The sequence below is a fragment of the Homo sapiens genome, chromosome 11 (genome assembly GCF_000001405.40).
Source record: "Homo sapiens chromosome 11, GRCh38.p14 Primary Assembly".
In the NCBI taxonomy this organism is placed as follows: Eukaryota; Metazoa; Chordata; class Mammalia; order Primates; family Hominidae; genus Homo; species Homo sapiens.
This window is the reverse complement of record NC_000011.10, coordinates 95174436-95197623: the sequence shown is the minus strand read 5'-3', so window position 1 is coordinate 95197623 and position 23188 is coordinate 95174436. Positions and strand designations below refer to the sequence as shown.

Genomic DNA, 23188 nt, shown 5'->3' with positions numbered 1-23188 from the left:
GATCAAAGAAGTTAATGGGTTGGGTGGTAAAGTGTTATGGAAGCTCAGCAACTCGGGAGGCTGAGGCAGGAGAATCGCTTGAGCCCGGGAGGCAGAGGTTGCAGTGAGCTGAGATTGTGCCATTGCACTGCAGCCTGGGCAACAAGAGTGAAACTCTGTCTCAAAAAAAAAAAAAAAAGAAAAGAAAAGGAAGCCCAAAAAGAAGAGAGTTGCCCAGAAGGAGGTAGATTTGACTTGTGCAAAGAGGTAAGAAAGCAGGGGATTACATAGGGAGAATCTCAGCTGTGATCTAAAGACTGTGTTTACATAAAAAGCAAAAGGTAGAATGGTGGTTCCTAGACCTAGGGGTAGGGAGAAATGGGAGTTGCTGTTCAATGGCAATAAAATTTCAGTTATGTGAGAAGAAAAAGTCCTAGACCTCCTCTGTACAACATCATGCATATAGTTAACAATACTGGGGTTGTACACTTAATTTAAAAGGGTAAACCTTGGGTGTTATTTATTTATTACCACAAGAAAGAAAGAAGGAAGGAAAGTGAGCGTGCCCTTGATACTTTTCTGGGGACTGTAATGTAAGCAGAAATTGAGACAAGGGTCCTTGGAACTGGCTGATAGTTTTTTTTCTTCCTAATTTGCCCAAATAGGACAAATAGGTTGATTGGTTCAGAGCATTTCTGCAATTACACTAAAATGCTTGGTTCTGGGATTGAGTAGGTGTGACCATCAAATGAATAACTCTGTGGAGCAGTCATTTAACATTTCAAAAAGTTATAAAAATGTCTGAAAATGCAATTTTAAAAAAGCAAAACCAAATGAGTCCAGAGCAGCACTGTCCGGTAGAACTGTCTGCAGTGGAAGATGGAAATGTCTGCGCTGTCCTGTAGAGTACACGTGGTCCTATGTGGCTGCCGAGCATCTGAAATGTGGTTAATGTGGCTAAGAAACTGTGTTTTTAACTTTATTTAATTTTAATTCATTTAAATTTAGCCATATGTGGCTGATGCTTACCATGTTGGGGAACGTAGGTCTAGAGACTTTAGAAAAGTTAGTATGAGTGAAGTAGGAACTTGGTCCTTGGACATTTGGGATTTGAAAGAAAGGCGGAGGAAAGGCATTATAATTTGACCAGAACTCTAGCTTATGGTCTTATCTTAAAAAAAAAAAAATCAATCTTTTGGATATAGTACTATCCTATTTCTTTTGTATTTGATCTTACTGACTTTAAAAGCATGCAGAGATAGAAAAGTGGGTGGAAACAAATTTTCAGAATGAAATGTGTTTAGAGTAGAATTTATGAACTGTGATCATTTTTAAAATTGTATTTCACCTTCCTATGAATAGACAGAGCAGCCAACTGAGACAATACAGTAGTAGAGTCCTTGCCAGAAAAGATTCTCCTTATGCAGAAGCAGAAACTAGACTGATCATTTCAAAAATGGCAACATTAAAAAATATAATTGAAGAAGAATACATGATGTTAAAACTTAAAAATTGTGTTAGTTTTCTTTTATGTTCGGTATATAAACAAATATTTTAGGTCGGGCCATATTTTATCTCTCCTGGACTATCACCAGAGCTTCCCAGCTGGGATTTTTCCCTCTCAGGCCCAGGGTCTACATCACCCTCAACACTATTAAAAACACAGATCTGATCCACATCTCTGCTTAAGAACTTTTTACTACAAAGAAGCATACAATAAAACGCTTCAAACACGTTTTTGAATGCTGCTTTTTACTTTTGAAATTAGTGAGTTAAGTGGACATTTTCTCAGCCGATGAAAATAAAATTGGTAAGACATTTTTGTTAGCACATTGGCAGTAAGCAACAAGAAGTTTGAAGATATTTATAACCCAAACCATAGTAAGTCCACTTCTGGGAATCTTCCTAAAGAAACTATCGTAAACACAACAAAATATGTCCCAAGTCTCTTTATATGAAGGTGTTCATCACAGGATTACTTATAATAGTGAAAACTGTATATAACTAAAATGTTCAACAGTAGGAAAATGACTTAAGTAAATGATAATTGCTAAAATGATGTCTTCTTTCATCACTTTTTGTATGCATCTGCGATGGTATATGTCATACGCCGTAGCTGGTTATATGCATTCTGCCAATCTAATTCTTATTTGTGTCCTCACTGCCTAGCACATTGTAGATGCTCAATTAATGTTTGCTAAATAAATGAAGAAATCAGTGTTGACACAAATGAAATTGAGTTTAAGTTGCTTCTTTTCAATTGCTAAACACTAAGGGATGTTATATTCATTTAAATGCAGTACCTTTCAGTTCCATTTATAATGAAAATATTTTTTTCAGATTTAAATCTCACCTGTTCCAGAAAATATTTAAAGTAATAATATGAAACATTTAAAGGTAAATTTAGTTGCTAACTGTATCAAATTGTGATTTTTATCAACAAATTTAATAAATCATTTTTTGTTTCCAAAATCCCATTGTCCATCTTAACGTGAGTTTATATTTTGCTCCCCCTACATGTTCTCTAAATTTTATGTATTTTTTATTATTTAAAGATTTCGATTTATCTCCCTGTTGAAATTTTTTTCCTCAAACCTCATAATCATAATTTTTCCTCATAATCAGTTTTTCCAGCTGCTTTGTTCATTTGAAATGAATAGTTGTCCAGAAAATTGCTTTTCATATACTACTTCGTTAAGTTTGTTGTTGTGGTGGTTTTGTGAGATGAGGTCTCACTCTGTCACCTGGGCTGGAGTGCAGTGGTGCGATCATAGCTTACTTTAACCTTGTAGTTCATTGAGTTATACAGAGAGTGTTCGAAATTTTTTTTTCTATATCTTATGGAGACTAGCAAAAGGAAGAAACCTGTTATTTTCCTTTAAATTATCTTTCTGGGTAAGTCTAGATTTGGTTGACATAGACAAGAAATACCAATATTGGAATCCTGACTTCATCCTCTTAACATGCAGTCCTCCAGTGTACTTGACCAGGAGATTGAGGCCTTTGTCATAATTTTGTAAATATAACCTAGAAATATAAAGTTATTTCTGAAACTTTACCAGGTTAAGAGTATTATTGTTTAATATATTTATTTCAATAGAACTCCCAAAATTGATGAAGATTGTGTGTACAGCTCATGAGGGCAGAGAGCATATCTGTTTTCCTCACCCTGTATCCTCAAAGTCTATCACAGTATCTGATTAGGCTCTCAAAAAAATCGTGTTAAATGCCTGACTGCCTACTTTCACCAATTTGTTTTGTAACTGGTTCCTAATGAAGTAAAGGATTTAAGAGATATAAATAACTATTTTGTGTTTGATAGGCTGTTTGATTGTAAGGACCAAAAAAGACTCAGGTTACCTAGTAATGGGGGGAGAAAGGGAGGGTGAGAAGAAGGACCCTATTCTCTGATTCGAATTTTTATGGCTTGTATCGCACTTAATGAGGATACTAAAATATTTTTCAATCTAAAAAAGTTAACAAATTTTTAAAAACTTAAAAAAAAATCAGCATTCAGACATACCATTGGCAATCTGTCAGTTGTTAATACCACCAATAGAATAGCAAGTGGAACAATAAGAATTACTATGTTCCCCATTCTTTATATTGAACTAACCTCTCCTTCTCTAATTTTTACATTTTTCTTAAAGTTTCAAAACTTCATATTAGATATGCTTATTGCTATTTTAGGGGAAAAAAAGCAGACTGGGTAATTGCTTTGAAGGGTTGTTATGTAATCTTCTTCGAATTTAACCTTTTATTTAGTTTTCAAATTGATGTCTAACAGTATACTACTATAAAACACTATTTTATTATGGAGGTTAATGGTTTTCAGGCATGTCAGATGTGGGCTTAAAGTTTATGGTGTAGACTGTGACTAAGGGATATGACATTTTGAGGAGGCTGTGCTGCACTTAGCACTATGGTAGGTGTTTGCCCCATTATCTCATCCATACAGTGGCCCTATGGGTTTTCTTTGATCTGAAACCCAACACTTACTCTGGTCTCACATAATTTAATTATTTATTCTCTTTATTTTAGTACCTTAGCAATAAATGTGTACAAATTTAACATTTCTTAGAAAGTCATCATTGATACATAAAACTTTTCTTTTAAAAATAGGATAAAAGAATCAGAGTGTCTCAACCCTTGACAAGAGGACCAAGTGCCTTTATTCCAGAGAAGGAAGTAAGTTTATCTGTCTTAAAATATAAAAAGTAAGATTTAAAAATAACTTAACTGTATCAAAGAATATCTCCTGTTAATATGAAAGTAGGAATGAATTTTGCTTTTGAGTTTCTTGTTCACATGTCAGAAAACCATGGAGATATTTTCTTTTCAGCTTCACAAATATTTACAGAGTGCCAATTATTGTCTTAAAAGAAGGGACTAGTAGAAATAGAATAATACCTGATCATTGCCAGAGTCAACAGTTCTTTCATCATCAGATCACCTTTTTAGTGACCTTCCCACCTAAGTGCAGATCCAAAGTGACAGTAACATTTCGGGAGCTCAGTGACAATAGCTGATCTCGGTGAGGACGATGCACCATGCACTGGAGAAGCTATCCTGCTTATGCCTATTTTCCTCAGATAGCCTGGGGCTGCTCTAAGTTGCCTACTACATATAAAGACTTCCTGAAGCATAGTCATTTTTCACAGTATATATTTGAGGATAATCTGGTTTTTAGGATCTATTGCATCATATGAATCTATTAATGTATCTTAAGCATCCAGTTAGAACAAACTTATGCTGGGAAAGCAAAACAAAAATAACAAATATTCTACTTCTAATTATATGTGGTTCATCTGGATCCCATTATATTTTTAACTGTCTTGGTCCCTGTAGTTGACAAAATGGTGGGGAAGTGAGCAAATCAAAGTATACTTGGCTCCATAATGAGTTACGCCATTGTAGTTAACATTTCCTCACAATTTATACTTTTCAAACATTATGTTTCCTTTGGGATTAAATTTCCCTAAGTTAGTAGTGCCTTTGTATAATGTGTACTTATTTTTCAGACTGCGAAGCCAGCTCTGAAGAGTAAACAGTTTCTTAATAGCAGTGTGGATGTTTGGAAAGACCATTAGTCTGGGCTTTAGGGGATCTGGATTCTAGACCAGACTCTGCTATTAATAAAGTGCATGAGCTTGAATTTAATCTTAAATCTGTTTCCTTATCTCTAAAATAAGTCTAGAATTCCAATTCTGAAATACAAATAAACAATGAACCACTCTTAGAATTATGCATCTCATGTCCATTAACTCCCACAGGGTTGAGTCTTTCTACAAGGTGCTAATAAACTCTTAACACCTTCAGAACCAGTTCTTGGTGTGATGCCCAAACTGTCATTGTGTGTGAAGCTATATATAAATAATCTATTTTTGAGAAAACTCTTTTGATTTCCTAGGATGGAGAATGTCCATTTCAATAACTTGCCTTGTTTTTAGTAATTATTATTGTTAGGCTCAAAATAGGAATGACAGTATTCTGGTGTCCTCATTAATTTTTCAATTAACACTTCTAAAATTTATTATATATGCCTTTGTTCCTGAAAAGACTTCAGAAAGTTTTTTTTATGTTAAATCACAAAAGCAAGCAAAGGATTAGACTGAAAATATTAGTCTAAAAATGATGTGCTTATCTTCATAGGCTGATGAGATGAAATTGTAAATGTATGTAATCAGATGCTACTGCCTGTGCTTTACCACACATTGGTGTGACAATGGCCAGGCAAATGGACCCTGAAGAATCTACCTAATATGCCTAGCAAAACAGATGGAAGCTTCTTTTCTTCATTCATAGCTGTGTGTATAATGTTTGATAATTTAACATTTGTTGTTTAATAAATTGTGGTACCAGAGCCAAAAATGAATGGTGCTTTCTTTTTTTATTTCTGTTTCCAGTATGAGCAACTGCATAATTTCAGTGTCTGTTAATATCAAATGAATATTCATTTGCTTCAATAGTGGCATAATTTATTTAAACCAAGGGTGTGTTTATGTCTCAATAGTCATTTTGTTTTGTTTTTTTTGGTTATAAGGTTGTCCAAGCAAACACAGTGGATGAACGTACTAACTTTCTTGTGGAAGAATACTCTACATCCGGTCGTCTGGACAACATCACACAGGTCATGAGTTTACACACTCAGTACCTGGAGTCTTTCTTGCGGAGCCAGTTTTACATGTTGCGCATGGATGGTCCCCTTCCTCTACCATACAGGCACTATATTGCAATAATGGTGGGTGCTTATTTTCCTATGTTCACATAACACCTTCCTCACTTATTCTTTCTCCCTTCCAAAATAGGCATGTGTCCTTGTGTGTGTATAGAGCTAAGTATAATTTATGGACATAAGAACTGAAGAAGCCTATGGCCTTTTGGATACCAAGTGTCTTGGGTATATTTGGAATATGTTAAGCCACTTAATGCACTGAATGTTTCTCATTTAATTTTCAGTAAAATCATTTTTCATATTTAATCTCTTACAAATAAAGATGCTTATAGCATGCAAAATAATACCCCACAAGTTTTGTCTTTGCTCTTGATATCTTGTTTTTATACAAACACAAGTTGTTTGTGACATTTTTCTTAGTAATTTTATACATAAAGAATGTCACTAATTTGGCCAAGTAAGAGGAAAGTATCAGTCAGCATTAATGGAGAATCTGAATGAGAGAAGAATTCTTGAGTGAATTATAACACTTCTAAGTATAGTTCTGATTACAAACTGGTTAACTAGTTATTCACAGGCAATAGAGGTCAGAGAGGAGAATTATAAAGTTTTGTGTGTGTCGGACTTTAATGGAGAAAAAGAAGAACAAGAACATAATGAAAGTGCTATATATTTGGAGAAGTTGGGGAAGAAACTGGGCTGACAGGGCTGTCATAACTAGCCAGGAGTTAGGAGATTAAGTTTGACCACGTTTGATTTGATTGTCTTTTTTATAGTCTCACTGAACTTTTACACAACAACAAAAAGCAACATTCCATGTTTTATTGAATGATGAACTTCACTGAGGCTGTAATTTTAGCTTAAGGTTTTGATGACACTAAGTCTGAAAGCAGACTTAGAATGCTTGTAAAATGTGGAGAAATAAGATGTAGAGAATAGAAAGAATAAAATAATACTGTTTTACTGAGAAGCAGCCCTGAGGAAAAAAGAGGTCAATTGAGGGCTGATTCTGACTGCATAGGAAGAAAAGGGTCAGTGAGCTTCCATGTCATCTGAGTAGGAAGATGTGTACAAATATGACTGCAGTCACATTTATCTTAAAGAGGATAAGAGAAGTAATCAAATTAGGATGAATCCTGAGTTGTTAGAATGTAAGTTAATGAGATTTTATTATGTTTTAAGTAGAATGTAATAGGTATATTTGTCATATTGAAATGGACCTGTATTTCCTATTCATAGCTAGAAAGTGGGCTATGGCTTAAGCTATACCAACTTCCAGACAAGGAAATAATTGGCTTCATGTGGCAATTATTTGCTTATACAAGTATCAGCTTCATGTATTGAATCTATTACATCATTATGATGGATGTTTTAGAAAAAGGATTCTGTAAGAAAAGAGGTACTGGCTATAAAAATCATTAGCTCCATCTGAATTATTTGTTTAGAAATAGTGGAAAGAAACTCTACTGTGATTCTTTTATCAATGAATTTTTTTCTTTGTGCTTTAGGCTGCAGCTAGACATCAGTGTTCTTACTTAATAAACATGCATGTGGATGAATTTTTAAAGACTGGAGGTATTGCTGAGTGGTTGAATGGTTTGGAATATGTGCCACAAAGACTGAAAAATCTTAATGAAATTAATAAGCTGCTAGCACATCGACCTTGGCTGATCACAAAAGAGCACATTCAGGTACTGAATGTTTCTTTGAAATAAAAAGGAATTTGCTTAGGACTTAATTTTAAATATGTGTATATTAGGAACTTGGAACATAAATAATAGTGTCTTAGTATGTGTAGAAAAGATGAGTTTAGAAAGTCAGTTTAATTTAAGCACAAATGAATACTTCTCCTCTTTAAGTGATCATTATCTTCTACAACTAGTTTGGTGAATGGCTATGAGAAAATTTGGTTTCTATTTTTAAGTAGTAGATAGACTAAAGAAAATACACTAGCATGATAGGATGCCTGGGATCTAGTCTGTACTCTGTTACAAGTTTGTGTCCTTTTAGTAAATTAACTTCTATGGGCTTCTGTTCTCCCTTCTACGGAATGAGGGAGCTAGATTAAATGAGTTTTAAACTTTTTTATAGTTCTAACATTTCATAAGTTTTAGATTCTCAAAAAATGATTTTGCAAATAAAAAAGTGATTTGCCAGCTGGTGTGTGAATGCTTAAATGCCTTTTAAAACTAGAGCTTAGACGAGAAATAGAGTTGTCGTGATTGACTAAGAGCACTTGTATTTCTGAAGGCGCTTCCATCAAAGGCCTACAGGGTGAGGTCATTATTCAATATGCTTAGCACTATTCTTGGCACGTGGTAACTATTCAATAGATGGGACCTATCATCTAAATTATCAGTGGAAACCTTTGTTATTTAAAATATCTGTTCCTAATGCATAGAAATGTCCTTGGTTTTTGGATCCTCTTGTTAGACTACATTTTTGTTATTTGCCCTTTCAACCAAACATAGCATTTATCAATCTGCATACTCTCAGATTTTGATGCTGAATCTGGGAAACTGTGAAGCATGATGCTGTCTTAAGATTTATGTTCTGATTTGATGATATGTTAGCTAGATAGGGGAATTAATCATTGTTTTTAATGTCATGTCTTAATTACTTTGTGCCAGATACTTTGGTGGGTAAAGATAAAGACCCTGCCCATAGATTTGCTTGGAGTCTAGGGGAGAAGAAGAACAGGGTAATGACAATAATCACAGTACAACAGTGTATGAATGTATGAATAAAGAGAATGGGACCAGAAAGTTTATTTTCTGAAAGAGGTAACATTTGAGCTAGGTCTTGAAGAATAAATGGGAGTTTTCAAGTAGAGCAGGGCATTTCAAAGAAAGAATAGAGTATTTAATATTATGGTATATTGGAAGAATAGCCAACAGTTTCAGATTATTGAAGTGCAGCGATGTTTATGTAAGGTGGGAACTGGGAAGAATTGAGATCATATTGTATGACCCAGTGAATACTGTATTAAATAATTTGTATTTTATTCTCAGAAAGTTGTGGTCTTCAGGGTTATGTTATGGTACTCAGGAGGTACACAGGAAAATTTTCCAAAATATTAACAGAATATTTGTGTATGTGTGTATATTCTCATCTCATTCTTCTAAATTTTTGTATTTGTGTATTTTATGTTTTTATTACGGTACACATATATAAATATTCTATATAAAATATATTTTATGTGTATAAATTTACAAATAAATATACGTAATATCTGGGGTTGGACCTTTCCCAATTGTTACATTTGGAAGTACATTTGATCACAAGAGCTTGGAGATCAATATGATAGAGAATCGAGAATCATTAAAGGTTTTTGTGCCATGTTGTAATATAAATATATTAGGTGATTTAGAAGATAAATTACAGATTGTACAGACTGGAAGCAGTAGACCAGTCATAGTACTACACCTGAGAGGTGATTTTTTTTTTTTTTTTAAGCCATGGGAGATACATAGGAAGGATAAGATTCTAGTAATGATTCTGCATGAGAGTAAGTAGGACTTTGGTGACTGGCAGGATGTGAGGATGGAGAAAGTGGGTGGGACAAGAGAGTGACTAAGGTGTCCTTCTTCATGACATGAGCATATACAGGCTGACAACAACTAAAAATGACATCCACAAAGTGATGTCCACTTACTAAAGGAAATACAGGTCTGTAACTCAAGATAAAGTGTGAGTTAAAAGTAAAATTGGATAGTTGTTTACAGATAAGCAAAGGTCAGGTTGAAGGAATGAATGGCCCATCCAAGGAGATACTGTACAAGGAAGGAAGATTGTGGATGGAATACAGCAATAGAGAAAGATCTTTCTCAGGGTAGCAAGAGTACTTCCCTCCCCAAAATGTGGAATTGTTGAAGTCAAGAGAGATTAATGTCAGGAAGGGAGAAGGTAAACAATGTAAATTCTGCAGAGATCAAATAAAATAAGGACTAAAAAGAAATAGTCAAATTTGGCCATTTGGAAGGTCATGTGTAATATTAGTAAATGTAGCTTCTGGAGTTTGCTTGAAAAAGAAACCAGATTGTAATGAATTTTTAAAAGTAGAAATGAATGTGAGGCAAGAAATTAGAGATGGTGAGTGTTGGCTGTCCTTTCAGGTTTAATGATAATCCTGCAGAGATTGGTGAGGGCATTGTAAATTCTAACAGTCCTTTTGGAAAGCTCTTTGGCAGTATTATCAAAAGTCATAAAAATATTAATACACTTTGTTCTAAAAATCCTATTAGGAAATGTTTCTAAAATAAGAATAAAACTATAGTATGAAGATGCTGTTTATAGAAGCAAATAAACAAAACAAATTTAGAATATGAATAATGGTATAGGAAAGGAGAAGTAGTTATATACATCTGTTGATATACAGGAGAGGCCTTGCTTAAAAATTAATATGGCACTGTGGCCTAATGAAAAATGAACATGTCAAAATGTCAAATTTGAAAATCAGAAAAATATAGATATGTGTGGTTGTAACTATATAATTGCTTATAAAAAATAAAATATGTAAAAGTTAGAGTGGTAGAATTTTTTTCAGTCAATATTGCAACCATTTAGTATATTTTGTGGCTACAAGGTTAGGTACATACAGATGTAAAGCAAGTATATTTTTCTGGTGTATATTCTTTTATTATTCAATAATGACCCTCTTTATTTACATTATTACAGATTATAATAATGATATTTTTGTCTTAAGATCACTTTTTAAATTTTATTTTTTAATTAACACATAATTGTACATATCCATGGGGTACATAGTGATATTTTGATAATATATAATGTACAATGACCAGATTAATTAGGATACCCATCATCTCAAACATTTATTATTTCTTTGTGTTGGGAATGTTCAATATCTTCCTTCTAACTATTTGAAACTGTATGTTATTGTTAACTATAGTCATCCTACAGTGGTATGGAACACTAGAATTTATTCCTTCTATCTAGCTATAATTTTGTTCTTTAACAGATCTTTTCCTATCTCCCCTGGCCATAGGATGATAGAATTTGACTGATTTTCTTTTCTTTTCCCTGAGCTTTTGGTAATACATTAAATTATATATGGTGTGTAGTTAAATAGTGGGTAGTAAAGCAAAAGAAAGCAGTTTTATTTTTATTTTGTTTTGTTTTGTTTTGTTTTAGCCATTAAGTAAGCCAAATGAAAGTTTTAGATTTGGAAGGAGGGAAAGAGAGGGATGAGATTCCCCCTTACATACACCACACACACACACACACACACACACACACACACACACACACACACACAGTGAGAGATAGAGAGAGAGAAAGGGAGAGAAAATGAACACCGATGGGAAAGAATCCCTGATGGATTAATTGGTGGAATTCACTCTTGGACAAAGTGGAGGAATTACTGTTTTTAATGACTTCATTTGTGATCCATCATTCAGCTGGAGGGTCAAGTGAAATACAGAATATGAAAAAGTGCTTGGAAATTTTTAAAATTCTTATTCAGATGTGAGGTAGTATTCTACAATTTCTGTCATCTGCTGCAGGTTCTTTCTCCATTAGAAGGTATCTAAAGGATAACTGAAACTTGACTTGCTGAATTGGGGTTTTTCGTGATTTTGTGAGATGAAGTTTCCAATATACCTTAAAATGAATGGTTTTGTTCGATAATCTTTAAAGTCCTATCTAGCTCCAGTGTTCTTTGATTCTCTAAAAGTATTTCATTAAAATAGCATACTATATAAAAAATGATTTGGAAGCAGAAGATTTATTGTATAATAAGGGATTTAGAAGACACTACAATGTAATTATATTGTTAGGTATGATAGTTTTAATGGCGCATTGGCCAAAATCATATCTTTAACATGTGAAACATTTTTAAAAGAGAGTTTTAAGTTTTATTACTCTAAGTGGATATATGAAAATTGGTAGATTTTCATTGAAATTTCTTTGTAGCATTCTAGAATTTTTATATTTGCTCTGATTTGCTTTCTTATTTCAGAAACTTGTCAAAACTGGAGAAAATAATTGGTCTCTGCCTGAACTGGTACATGCTGTGGTCCTCCTGGCACATTATCATGCTTTGGCAAGCTTTGTTTTTGGTAGTGGTATCAATCCAGAGAGAGATCCAGAAATCTCCAATGGATTCAGGCTAATATCAGTCAACAATTTCTGCGTTTGTGATCTTGCTAATGACAACAACATAGAGAATGCATCTCTTTCAGGCAGCAACTTTGGGGTTAGTTTTCTTAGCTATTTTTCTTTACTATTTTTGCTTTAAACTTCTAATATTAAAAATATCTAGAGAGAATTTTTCTCCAATTAGATAGGATATTATATACTTAAAATATTTTTGCATAATTTTTATTACTGTAAAAATTTGGTACCTGAAGTTCTGATTTATTTTAAAGAGGCTTTTAAAGCAAATACATATTACTGCAAATCATAAAGACTAAACAGTGATGCATTCTAGTGATCATAGGCTTTTAATGTTAGACCCTTTGGACAGTAGATCCCAAAACAATATACTTGTATGTATAAGATGCTGGAACAACCAATGGAAAACATACCTTATGACAGCAAAAAGTAAAACAATTGTGCTGCCTCATTTTTTTAAACTAAACTATAATATTTAATATATACCAAATGCTAGAATTGTAGATTTTATGCACACACATATATACTTATAAACTTCTATATTTATAACTAAAAAAAAAATCATACTTCTGAAAATGTTGGAATCTGTCATGATTTCCTTTGAAATTGGTGAAAAACCGACTTAAGAACTTCATAACTGTGCCTGTTCCGCTGTACATAGTAAGGTGACATTTGGAGATGGAGATATTTACTGGAACACTTTTAGTATGAATAGCACCCAACATTATCTTATCTGTTTCCAGATTGTGGATTCTCTAAGTGAGCTAGAGGCCTTAATGGAAAGGATGAAAAGACTTCAAGAAGAAAGGGAAGATGAAGAGGCGTCTCAAGAAGAAATGAGCACTCGTTTTGAAAAGGAGAAGAAAGAAAGTCTTTTTGTGGTCTCTGGAGATACTTTTCATTCATTTCCTCATTCAGGTGCTTTTTTGCACTTTTTTGCCTTTTAGTTGTTCTTAGAACCCTGACAGGGCAACTTCAGTGTTTTCCATGTGGATATGTAAAAATGATTCTGCTACCATCTTTCTCTTATTTAGTTCTCCTCTTCTATCTTACCCTCATGCTATTGCTTTCCCTCAGGCTGGTTCATCCTTGAATGTATTTCAGATTGAGTTGAGAGAAACTTTCAGCTTTGTAGTTCATACTCTATCCTGGATAAAATGTTATTTAAAGCAGATCAGTTACTTATAAAGTTAGATAGACATATTTAATTTATCCTACTTTTGTGATTTTTTAAAAATGATAAGTGAAATATTGTTTCAATAGATAAAATTTTAAAAAAAACTGCCTTTTTTGTAGGTGGGGGGTGTGTGGGAAGATTATTCTCACACTGCTGCTTTTCCAGATTAGTTCTAAAATTACACTGCATTTGCATTTACATTTCTTTGGAATTCTATAAAAATGTATTATTTAGGTCATTTTCTTAGACTGAATTTGGAGGAATTCATCCTGTGTTAAAAGCTGAGATTCTTTGCTGTAGTCTTGAAAACAGTTTTTCTAATACTCGAAGGACTGAAATAGGAAATAAACTTTTCAATTACAACTAAAAAGATATTGAACACCACATAGTAAATGATATTAAAATAGCATAGACTCAATACAAAGTTTAAACTCTTTAAAAGTAATCTATGTGCATAACTTTTTTTTTTTTTTTTTTTTGAGACAGAGTCTTGCTCTGTCACCCAGGGTGGAGTTCAGTGACGTGATCTTGGCTCACTGCAACCTCCGTCTCCTAGGTTCAAGCGGTTCTCTTGTCTCAGCCTCCTGAGTAGCTGGGATCACACATAATATATTTTTTAAAAATAGAGTTCTGTTGATCTAAAAGAGGGCTTCAAAACTACTGCCTGTCTTAAAACTCATCAATCTCATAAATTTTGAGAATTGTTTCAGCCGTAACTTGTTAATGTTAAACATAAAACATTGATCAGTAGTTCTCAGTTTTACCAGGAAGAACAAGAACCCTTTTTATCATTTCTCCTGATGATCTTTTTTATGAAAAATTTTATCTACCAAATTGAGTAACCATTTTAATCCTTTCAATTAATTTAATCCATTGAAGATTACTGTCACTAAAATCAGAGCCTCTAGTCAGCAGGAAATTCCAAACAAAGAAACCTAGTATTTGGATTATTGGTTTAATATTCACTCTGCAAACACTTACTGAGTACCTGATAGAGTTTCAGCATGGTGTTAGGTACTAAGGTTTTAAGGTTAAATAAGGCATGATTCCTGCTCTCAGGGCACTCTCATTCTAGTAGCAAAAAAATAATTGTAACTCATAGCAGAATGTGAAAGATAGGAGCCTAGAAGAGGGCACTGAACCCAGTCTTGATAGGCAAAGGGTGTAGGCAGAAGAGGAACCTAGAGGAAGAATGCCTGCAGCCCTTGGCTCTAAGATAAATCTTAACCCAGTTGAGTGTGAGGAAGTCAGGTAATGACTGAGGGGCACAGGAGGACATGGTAAACAGCATCCAGGCCCAAGCAAAGGCACGATGGTAAGGAAACAGGATGCTGGGTCCAAGAACAAGTGGTTCTGTGTTGTTAGGACGTACATCATGAAACAGGTAGTGTAAAGAGAAATCTGGTTAGGTAGGTAGAGTCCCTACTGTAAGGATCTTGCTAACCTTAAGAAATATGTAACCTACCGTATTTTGGACATTTTGAGTAGAGATGTCTATAAAACAACCAGTCTGGAAATGTCTTGCACAGCACTTCTCAAACTTCAGTGTTCATGAGTCACTTGGGGAATCTTGTTGAGATGCAGAAGTTGAATCAGTCAGTTTAGGGTAGGGCCTGAGAGGCCACATTTCTATCAAGCCTCCAAGTAATGCCAGTGCTGCTAGTATGCAAGCCACTCTTGGAATACAAAGGGTAGAAGAGATGGGAAATCAGGAGAGGGCTTTAAGGTCAAGGCAAAATTTTAGAAGTTATCAGCATATAACTGGGAACAGACATTAAAAGTTGATTATAAAATTCATCCAGAGAGAAGAGGTGAGGTTGAAGGAAAATAATGACTCTATGATGAACCTTCTAGGTAAACTAATGTCTAAAAATGTAAACATTTATATTAAAGTTAGTAATATCTGTGTGTTTTCAGAAATTAATTTTTAAGAGCTTCATTAAGATCACTAAAGCTTGAAAAATATCAATGTTTTATTTCTCTTAGGTCTTTTGAAATATTAAAAATATACTTTGGATTTCAGTCTCTACCTTCTTGGAACTTTAAGCTGGGACTACAGCCTTCAAAAGTGAATTTTGACTAGAAAGTCTTGGACCTTAGCCAAAAATTATGTTCTAATTTTAATAGAAGAGGCTATTTCAAGGAAATAATGTCAGTATACATACATATACCCCTCCGCATACATATATATTCACATATATACACACATATATATAAAAATACATATTTCACTCTTAATCATTGCCAGTACCAACTTTGCTGGCTGCACAAATAAAATATAGAAAAAAGACTCAGTACAATAGCTAATTGAGTCATTTGTGTAGACTTACCATGTTTTAAAATAGAAATAAAAAGGGTTTTTTTTGGTATTAAAAAAGTCTTGGTTTGACCAGCGTTATAAAGTATTCCAGATTCTATGTAAGGATTCTAAGAATAGTTTTTCAAGTCTTTTGAAGAAAATAAATGTTTAAAGTATTCTACAGGGGTCATATTCTGTAGCTTGGTAACAGGGTTAACTAGCTTTTACTGTTTTTTGTATTTTCAGTTACGCATTCCATTACTGCAACAGAATGTTTCCCGTATTATGTCAGTAACTACTTCTTAGGGGCAGAATAATGCAGATAATGAACAAAATACTATTTCTTTTGAGTACAGACTTTGAAATATTTGTTTAGATAGAATTAAAGCTAGAGTTTTAGATTTAATAATCAGAATGCTAATTTTAACTTCTTAAGATAAATTTAGGAAAAAAGTATTTGTGGATTGAGGGACCTTTGTACATTTCTTTCTGTGAATAAAAATTGTCTAGGAAACAGGTGTTAATTGACTCCTAAGTTAAAAATTAATGCATAGAGATTTTTCCTAGGATCACTTCTCTTATTTGGCTGACTACTTACTTTTTACTGTTTATTTTAAAATGTCTAAAAGTCATACAACTTGAAAATGTATATGAGCAAAACAAAAACTAAAGAACCAACTATGTAATAGTCAACTCCAGTATCAGTATTTGCCAAATGAAACCATTTGGTTGTGCAGTGTCAAAGGAAAAATCACATCTAGAGAGAGACTGTTTTATAGAGTTTAGTTATTACTTACCGTTTTTGGCTTTATTTTACTTTGCAAACCATAAACTTTGCAACCTATAAAACTACCTTTCATAGCAGCCTCAGTGATTGCTACTACATTTTATAATTTTTGCTTCATTTATATTATTATGTAATGAACTGAATTAAGGAAAGTATAAGCTGGTTTGTAAATGTTAAGAGATAATGCATTGAAAATGCCATTTTAAAAGTGTTTCTGTTGACCTGAATAGAGTGCTGGAGGACAAGGAGAAAATAAAGTGGTTATGGGATTGGGCTGGGGATAAGCCTGAAAATTCTCTTCACAGGACTGAAAAATCACTTAAAAACTTCAGATCAATTTAAGCATTTAATGTTTAGAAGTTTTTCACATCATCTTATACTTAAACATCTACACATTGTATTTCTTCCTGACACAGTACTGACAGTGGTGTTAGTAAGATACAGTTAATTTATTTCTTAAATGGATATTTCTTCCTGTATTAATGAAACAAAAAATAGATAGTAAGTGTGTAGTATAGTACTTGGTATATGGTAAGTACTCAGTAAACACCGTCTCTTTTCTTTATATGTAATGAAGTTTGTTAAGAATTTTAATAAGATTTATCTGAAATTGGGTAACCGGAGCACTTAATCTTTCCTGCCATTATCAAGCACCCAGTTAGTCCACAGCAGTGACCTAAAGACAGCTGAAAACTTGTGAGAAAAGAATACTTAATGTTAGGATGTTCATGCAATAGCAAAGATTAAAGATAATGAAGTATTACTACCAGGTCTTTCTTTTGGAAGAATTAACATAATTACACTTGTTTTTTAAGTCTCTCAAAAATTTTCAGTTAAGAATTATAGTTTGTCTTTTATTATGCCATAATACTGTTCTACTATTTATTATTTATGAAATATGACATTTAATACTAAAATACTTATAATGAAAATATTGTTCCTTTCAGGGAAATAGCTAGTTTGTTCTTTTATTTTGAGAAATATATGTTCATTTTCTAGACTAGAAGCTAGTAAATGAAGCTTGTTCATTCCCTTTTAATGGTTAAAATCAGAAAAAATAGTAAAGACAGACCAACCTAAAATAAAAAGTGAGATAGAATTATTTTCCATAAATTAATATGCATTGGATATTTAAACTTTTTCAGTGGTAAATTGTTAATGTCATCAAGTATGCAGAAATCAGTTTTCTTAAAATATTATTATTGCCTTGCTATCTTCCTGAATGCCACTTTGGTAATATTCTAGTCACAGTCTCATTAGGACATTGTTTACTCCATATGTTGTGTTCTTTTTGTTTTCATATGCATAGAAAAGTGCACATATCTTAGGCATAAAGCTCAGTGAATGTTCACAAACTGAGCCCCCCTACTTAGCTCTCAAGTGTATTAAAATAATGATAACGACATCAAAAACTCTGCTCTCCTCCCCACTGAGTGTCCTTTCTGATCTTTCTCCCTATATGCTTTTTTGCAAGCTAAAAATAAACTATATTGAACTAATTTTTACTGTGAATACATCCAGATGAAACACCATGTAATTTTAACAAAGTTTATCTTGACCTCAGAGTGGTCTTTCACCTTCATCTCTTCTCCTTCCTCTCATCCCACTTCATCCCCTGGAGAGATAAAAACAAAACCAAAAAAATGGTTAAGCTGCACTTCGGGAGGCCAAGGTGGGTGGATCACGAGGTCAGGAGTTCGAGACCAGCCTGGCCAATATGGCAAAACCCTGTCTCTACTAAAAATACAAAAAATTAGCTGAGCATGGTGGCACACACCTGTAGTCCCAGCTACTCGGGAGGCTGAGGCAGAAGAATCGCTTGAACCCAGGAGGCAGAGGTTGCAGTGAGCTAAGATCGCGCCACTGCACTCCAGCCAGGGCGACAGAGCAAGACTCTGTCTCAAAAAAAAAAAAACTGGTTAAGCTTTATACTTATAGGCCTATGCTATCTTCCATTCCTAAATTAGTAAAACTAGCATATTGATCCTTTGCTACTACTGTTTAGATATTTCAGTTAGTCAAACTAACAGTTAGGAAAACTAGTTAAATGGTAAGATTGCCAGTATTTGGTAATGAAATTATATTTAAAACTTTAGCAGTAGATATTTTATATAAAGTCACGGAGTCCATGTTTTCACTTTAGAAATCCATGGAAAAGCTAAAAAGTGGAAGAAAATGGAGTTCCGTTTTATTGTCATAACCACGTACAGTATCCTTAACACTAGATTGTTCATTATTGTCCTTAGATTTTGAGGATGACATGATTATAACATCTGATGTCTCTCGATATATTGAAGACCCTGGTTTTGGGTATGAAGACTTTGCCAGACGAGGAGAAGAGCATTTGCCAACATTCCGAGCTCAGGTATAATATGTCTTTAATTCAGAGAAACTAGAACATACTGTCATTTTAACTGTTAAGTGTTTAAATTTTAAAAATTGGCACTAAACAATTTTTGATAGAATCTATAAATCTTTGTATTTAACCTAGTTTCAGCCTAATCTAATTGGAGTTCCCAATAGATGGATAATTATTTCAACATTTTTCTCCCTAAGAAGACAAAAGGAAACAGTCTGCTTTATTCACTTACTTCTATTATTACGTGGTATTTGCATAATGTTTATACCATTTTTTTGAGGGGGAACAGAGAGGAAAACAAGTGACATCACTTTTTCTTGGAATAAAATCATATACCAGTAGTCATGGGCTTAAGGGCTACTCTAATATTCACCCCTAGGAAATAGCCACAGCAGTGATATGACTCCTAAAGAGGGTATAAGATTGAATTATGACAAACTCATTCATGGTTATTTTAGATGATCTGCTAACTGTCCATGTCACTGGGTAGGTTTGTTCACATGGGAATATTCCAAGATCTCCTGGGGCCCTTCCAGATAAAAGGATAGTGTGCGTAGTACCTGAGTGTAGGAGATGACCAGAGTTCATCACTAACATGGCAAATCCCATACCCCATGAAGAAACATCCAGACACTCTGATCTACTAACTGATGTGAAGGGTTATTGGTAAAGCCTTAGTAAAGCTGAAAACCTAGAGCTAAATTAGAAATAGCCTCGCTTACTTGCTTCATTAGTTATATTTAATAATACATAGAATTTAGATGGAAAATGCCCACTTTGTAATTAAATACATTTTATTCTTTTAGGACTATACCTGGGAAAATCATGGGTTCTCCCTGGTGAACAGACTTTATTCTGACATTGGACATCTTCTTGATGAAAAGTTTCGGATGGTCTACAATCTCACATATAACACTATGGCCACCCATGAGGATGTTGACACAACCATGCTGCGCAGAGCTTTATTTAACTATGTTCACTGTATGTTTGGAATCAGGTATGTTCATTGTAGAGACAGTTTTTTACATTTCTAAGTGAAAATTCAAGCATGAGTCTTATTTTTGTCCTGTTTGGGAGTATATGACTCTGGGAAGAAAATATTACATGTAGACTTCTGATTTTAAAAATTAATTTCATTTTATGGAGAAGCATTTTTCTTTAAGTGTTATGAATCTTAACATTGATGCACATGTAAATATAGTGGTAAAAATTTACTGAGGGAAAAAAGCATCAGTAATGATTGGGGATAGGATAGAATTAGACCAAATTTGAGAATCCTTCCTGGAAGAACAGGTGAGTTTTAAAAAAACAGGTGTAGTGTCCCTTTAGATCACTATAATAAATTCTGGTTTGTTTAGTTAGTTTGGTCTTTTTAAAACTTATTTTTTAAGGAATGGTAATTACGGTATAAACAAAACTGTACTAGGTTGTGCCTTCATAAGCTTACATAAGGTCACATAACACTGAAATTAAATATATCAGCCAATATAAATTAATGACCTCTAAATTTAGAAAATTAGCATTGAGAGGACAGTAAGTACATGAGATTGAATAGTCTAATCAAGAAAGCACTTTTTGGAGAATGTGCCTTTTTGAGTTGTGGTTTTGAGGCTTTTATGGAAATAGATTAGCAGACAGAAAAACTTTCCAGTTACAAATTATTCAACTTGACTATATAGATATATATCAGACAGACTTTATGATAATTAGAATTTAATCGGTTAAGCAAAGTATTTTCTATAATTTTAGCTGAAGAACCCCAAAATTTACTGATAAATCGCCTAATAACACGATATTCCATGTAATAGATTATGGTTGTATGTAATAACTGAGCTATTTGTCCATTTACCATGCTAGACAATGTTATCAAAGAATCAATACATTTTAAAACACATATATATCATATCTACCTACTTAAGAAAAATAAACACCGATAAAACTCAATTTAAATGCAATAAATATGTATTGGATACAAGGCAACAAATGTGGTGAATATATCTGTTGGATGCTACAAAATAAAGCTTACATAAATGCATCAAGATACTCTTTTTATTAAACTAAGCATTATATGGGTTAAAAATTAACTGAAAATGTAACAGAGAAATTCCACAAGTTCCCAATACTACATTTACCTACCTGTCTACATCTGTGCCCATTTACTCTGCTGTCATTACTGTCTATGTTCCTATACACTTATGCACAAAATCCCATTTCTCATTTTCTAAAGATCTCAGTTCTAGCAATGCTCCCTTCTCTCTCCAGCATAATCAGCTTTACTCCCATTTTGGATCTTTCCCATCAGCATTGAAACACACTTAATTTCTCCCATCTTTAAAGAAAATTTCAGTTTCACCTTTCATTTCCATCTGGCTACTGCCTCATTTTCTGCTTTCGTGCGAAGCAAATCTCTGACAAAATTGTGTATATTTACTGTCACTATTTTCTTATCTCCCATTCTCTCTTGAACCTATTCACAGTATCAGGCTTTTGTCCCTATCAACCAACAAAACTGCTCTTACCGAGGTTGCTAGTGACCTCCATATAGCTACTTCCAGTGGTCAGTTCCCAGTTATCTTATTTGACTATTTGGCAGCATGGGACTCAGTGATTACTTGCTCTTCCCTGAAACACTTGACTCCTACCTCAAGTCCTTTACACTTGCTTCTTTACCACCATCTGGTATTTGTTCAAATATCAAGGCTTTCAGAGAAGCCTTCCTGCCCACCCTATTTAAAATAACAACTCCTCTCCTCCCAGACCAAGTTCCATTTCCTCTCCATGGCAGTTATCACCATCTGACTACAATGTGTTTATCTTTTTAATTTTTCTTCGTTTTTTCTTCAACAAAATTTAAGCTCCATGAGACCAAGGATTTTTGTCTGTTTTGTTCACTAGTATATCACTACTACTGAGTACTCATGGCACATAATGGGTACTCAGTAAACATTTGTTGATTCAATTAATTAACGAGCTTTTAGTATTTAATTACTAGACAATAAATGTCCTTAGTATAACTTTGGAAACTAAATATTTTGATTTTGTCATTATAAAGCTATTGTTGTATTGCTCGTAGGTATGATGACTATGATTATGGAGAAGTTAATCAATTACTTGAAAGAAGCCTGAAGGTTTACATTAAGACAGTGACCTGCTATCCTGAGAGAACTACAAAACGCATGTATGATAGTTACTGGCGGCAGTTCAAACACTCAGAAAAAGTACGTGTTTCAGTATTAAGCATTATACCATAGACAGTTCTTCAGTACAAGAAGTAATAGTTATGAAAAATGACACATGAAAGTATTAATAAATTATAGCCATTGACATGGAAGTGGCATCATCTAGCTATCTGGGGTTTTTTTGCTTGTTTGTTTGCCAGGCTGGAATGCAGTGGCACGATCTCAGCTCACTGCAACCTCCACTTCCCGGGTTCAAGTGATTCTTCTGCCTCACCCTCCCGAGTAGCTGAGATTACAGGTGCCTGCCACCACGCCTGGCTAATTTTTGTATTTTTAGTAGAGGTGGGGTTTCACCATGTTAGTCAGACTGGTCTCAAACTCCTGACCTCAGGTGATCTGCCCACCTCGGCTTCCCAAAGTGCTGGGATTACAGGCAGGAGCCACTGTGCCCAGCAGAAACCGTTGTCTTAATAGGTTAACTTTAGTGGTTAAAGAATCTCGAAATGGATGTGCCTTCTGGGCCAAAATACAATTATACCTAATACAACATTTCAGTATGTCTGATTTTTATTAATAGTTAGAACTGTAGACAGTTTTCCAAATGTGCTTTGAAGATATCAGTACTCAGATCTAGTATTTCTAAGGCTTACGATAAACTTTTATATGCTATATTGAACAAAGCATATAACCAAAATTGGGTTACTAGTCAATAAATCTGAATTAAAAAAATATTTTAAAAACCCAGATAGTGGCTGGGTGCAGTGGCTCCCGCCTGTAATCCTAGCACTTTGGGAGGCCGAGGTGGGGGGATCACCTGAGGTCAGGAGTTCAAAACTAGCCAGGCCAACATGTAGTGAAACCCCATTTCTACTAAAAAATACAAAAATTAGCTGGGCATGGTTGTGCATGCCTGTTGTCCCAGCTACTTGGGAATCTGAGGCAGGAGAATCGCTTGAACCCAGGAGGCAGAGGTTGCAGTGAGCCGAGATCACTCCACTGCACTCCAGCCTGGGCAACAGAGCAAGACTTCATCTCTCGAAAAAAAGACAATAGATTTTTACCCAAACTTGGTAATTTAGTGTTTTGACAGTATAATTCAGG

General features: G+C 34.0%; 1 protein-coding gene across 5 annotated transcripts in view; it reads left to right on the top strand.

The window, feature by feature from the left end:
- Nucleotides 1–23188, top strand: part of SESN3 (sestrin 3) — a 66963-nt gene that overhangs the window by 34852 nt on the left and 8923 nt on the right. For 4 of the 5 annotated variants that reach the window (XM_011542614.2, XM_024448355.2, NM_144665.4 and 1 more), the window contains 8 exons: nt 4102–4167; nt 6023–6220; nt 7663–7845; nt 12132–12368; nt 13030–13204; nt 18796–18914; nt 19715–19905; nt 21982–22126. In XM_011542614.2, coding sequence (XP_011540916.1) covers nt 4102–4167; nt 6023–6220; nt 7663–7845; nt 12132–12368; nt 13030–13204; nt 18796–18914; nt 19715–19905; nt 21982–22126 — 1314 coding nt within the window. The remainder of the gene's footprint in view (nt 1–4101; nt 4168–6022; nt 6221–7662; nt 7846–12131; nt 12369–13029; nt 13205–18795; nt 18915–19714; nt 19906–21981; nt 22127–23188) is intronic. The other variant, NM_001271594.2, reaches the window with a different exon arrangement.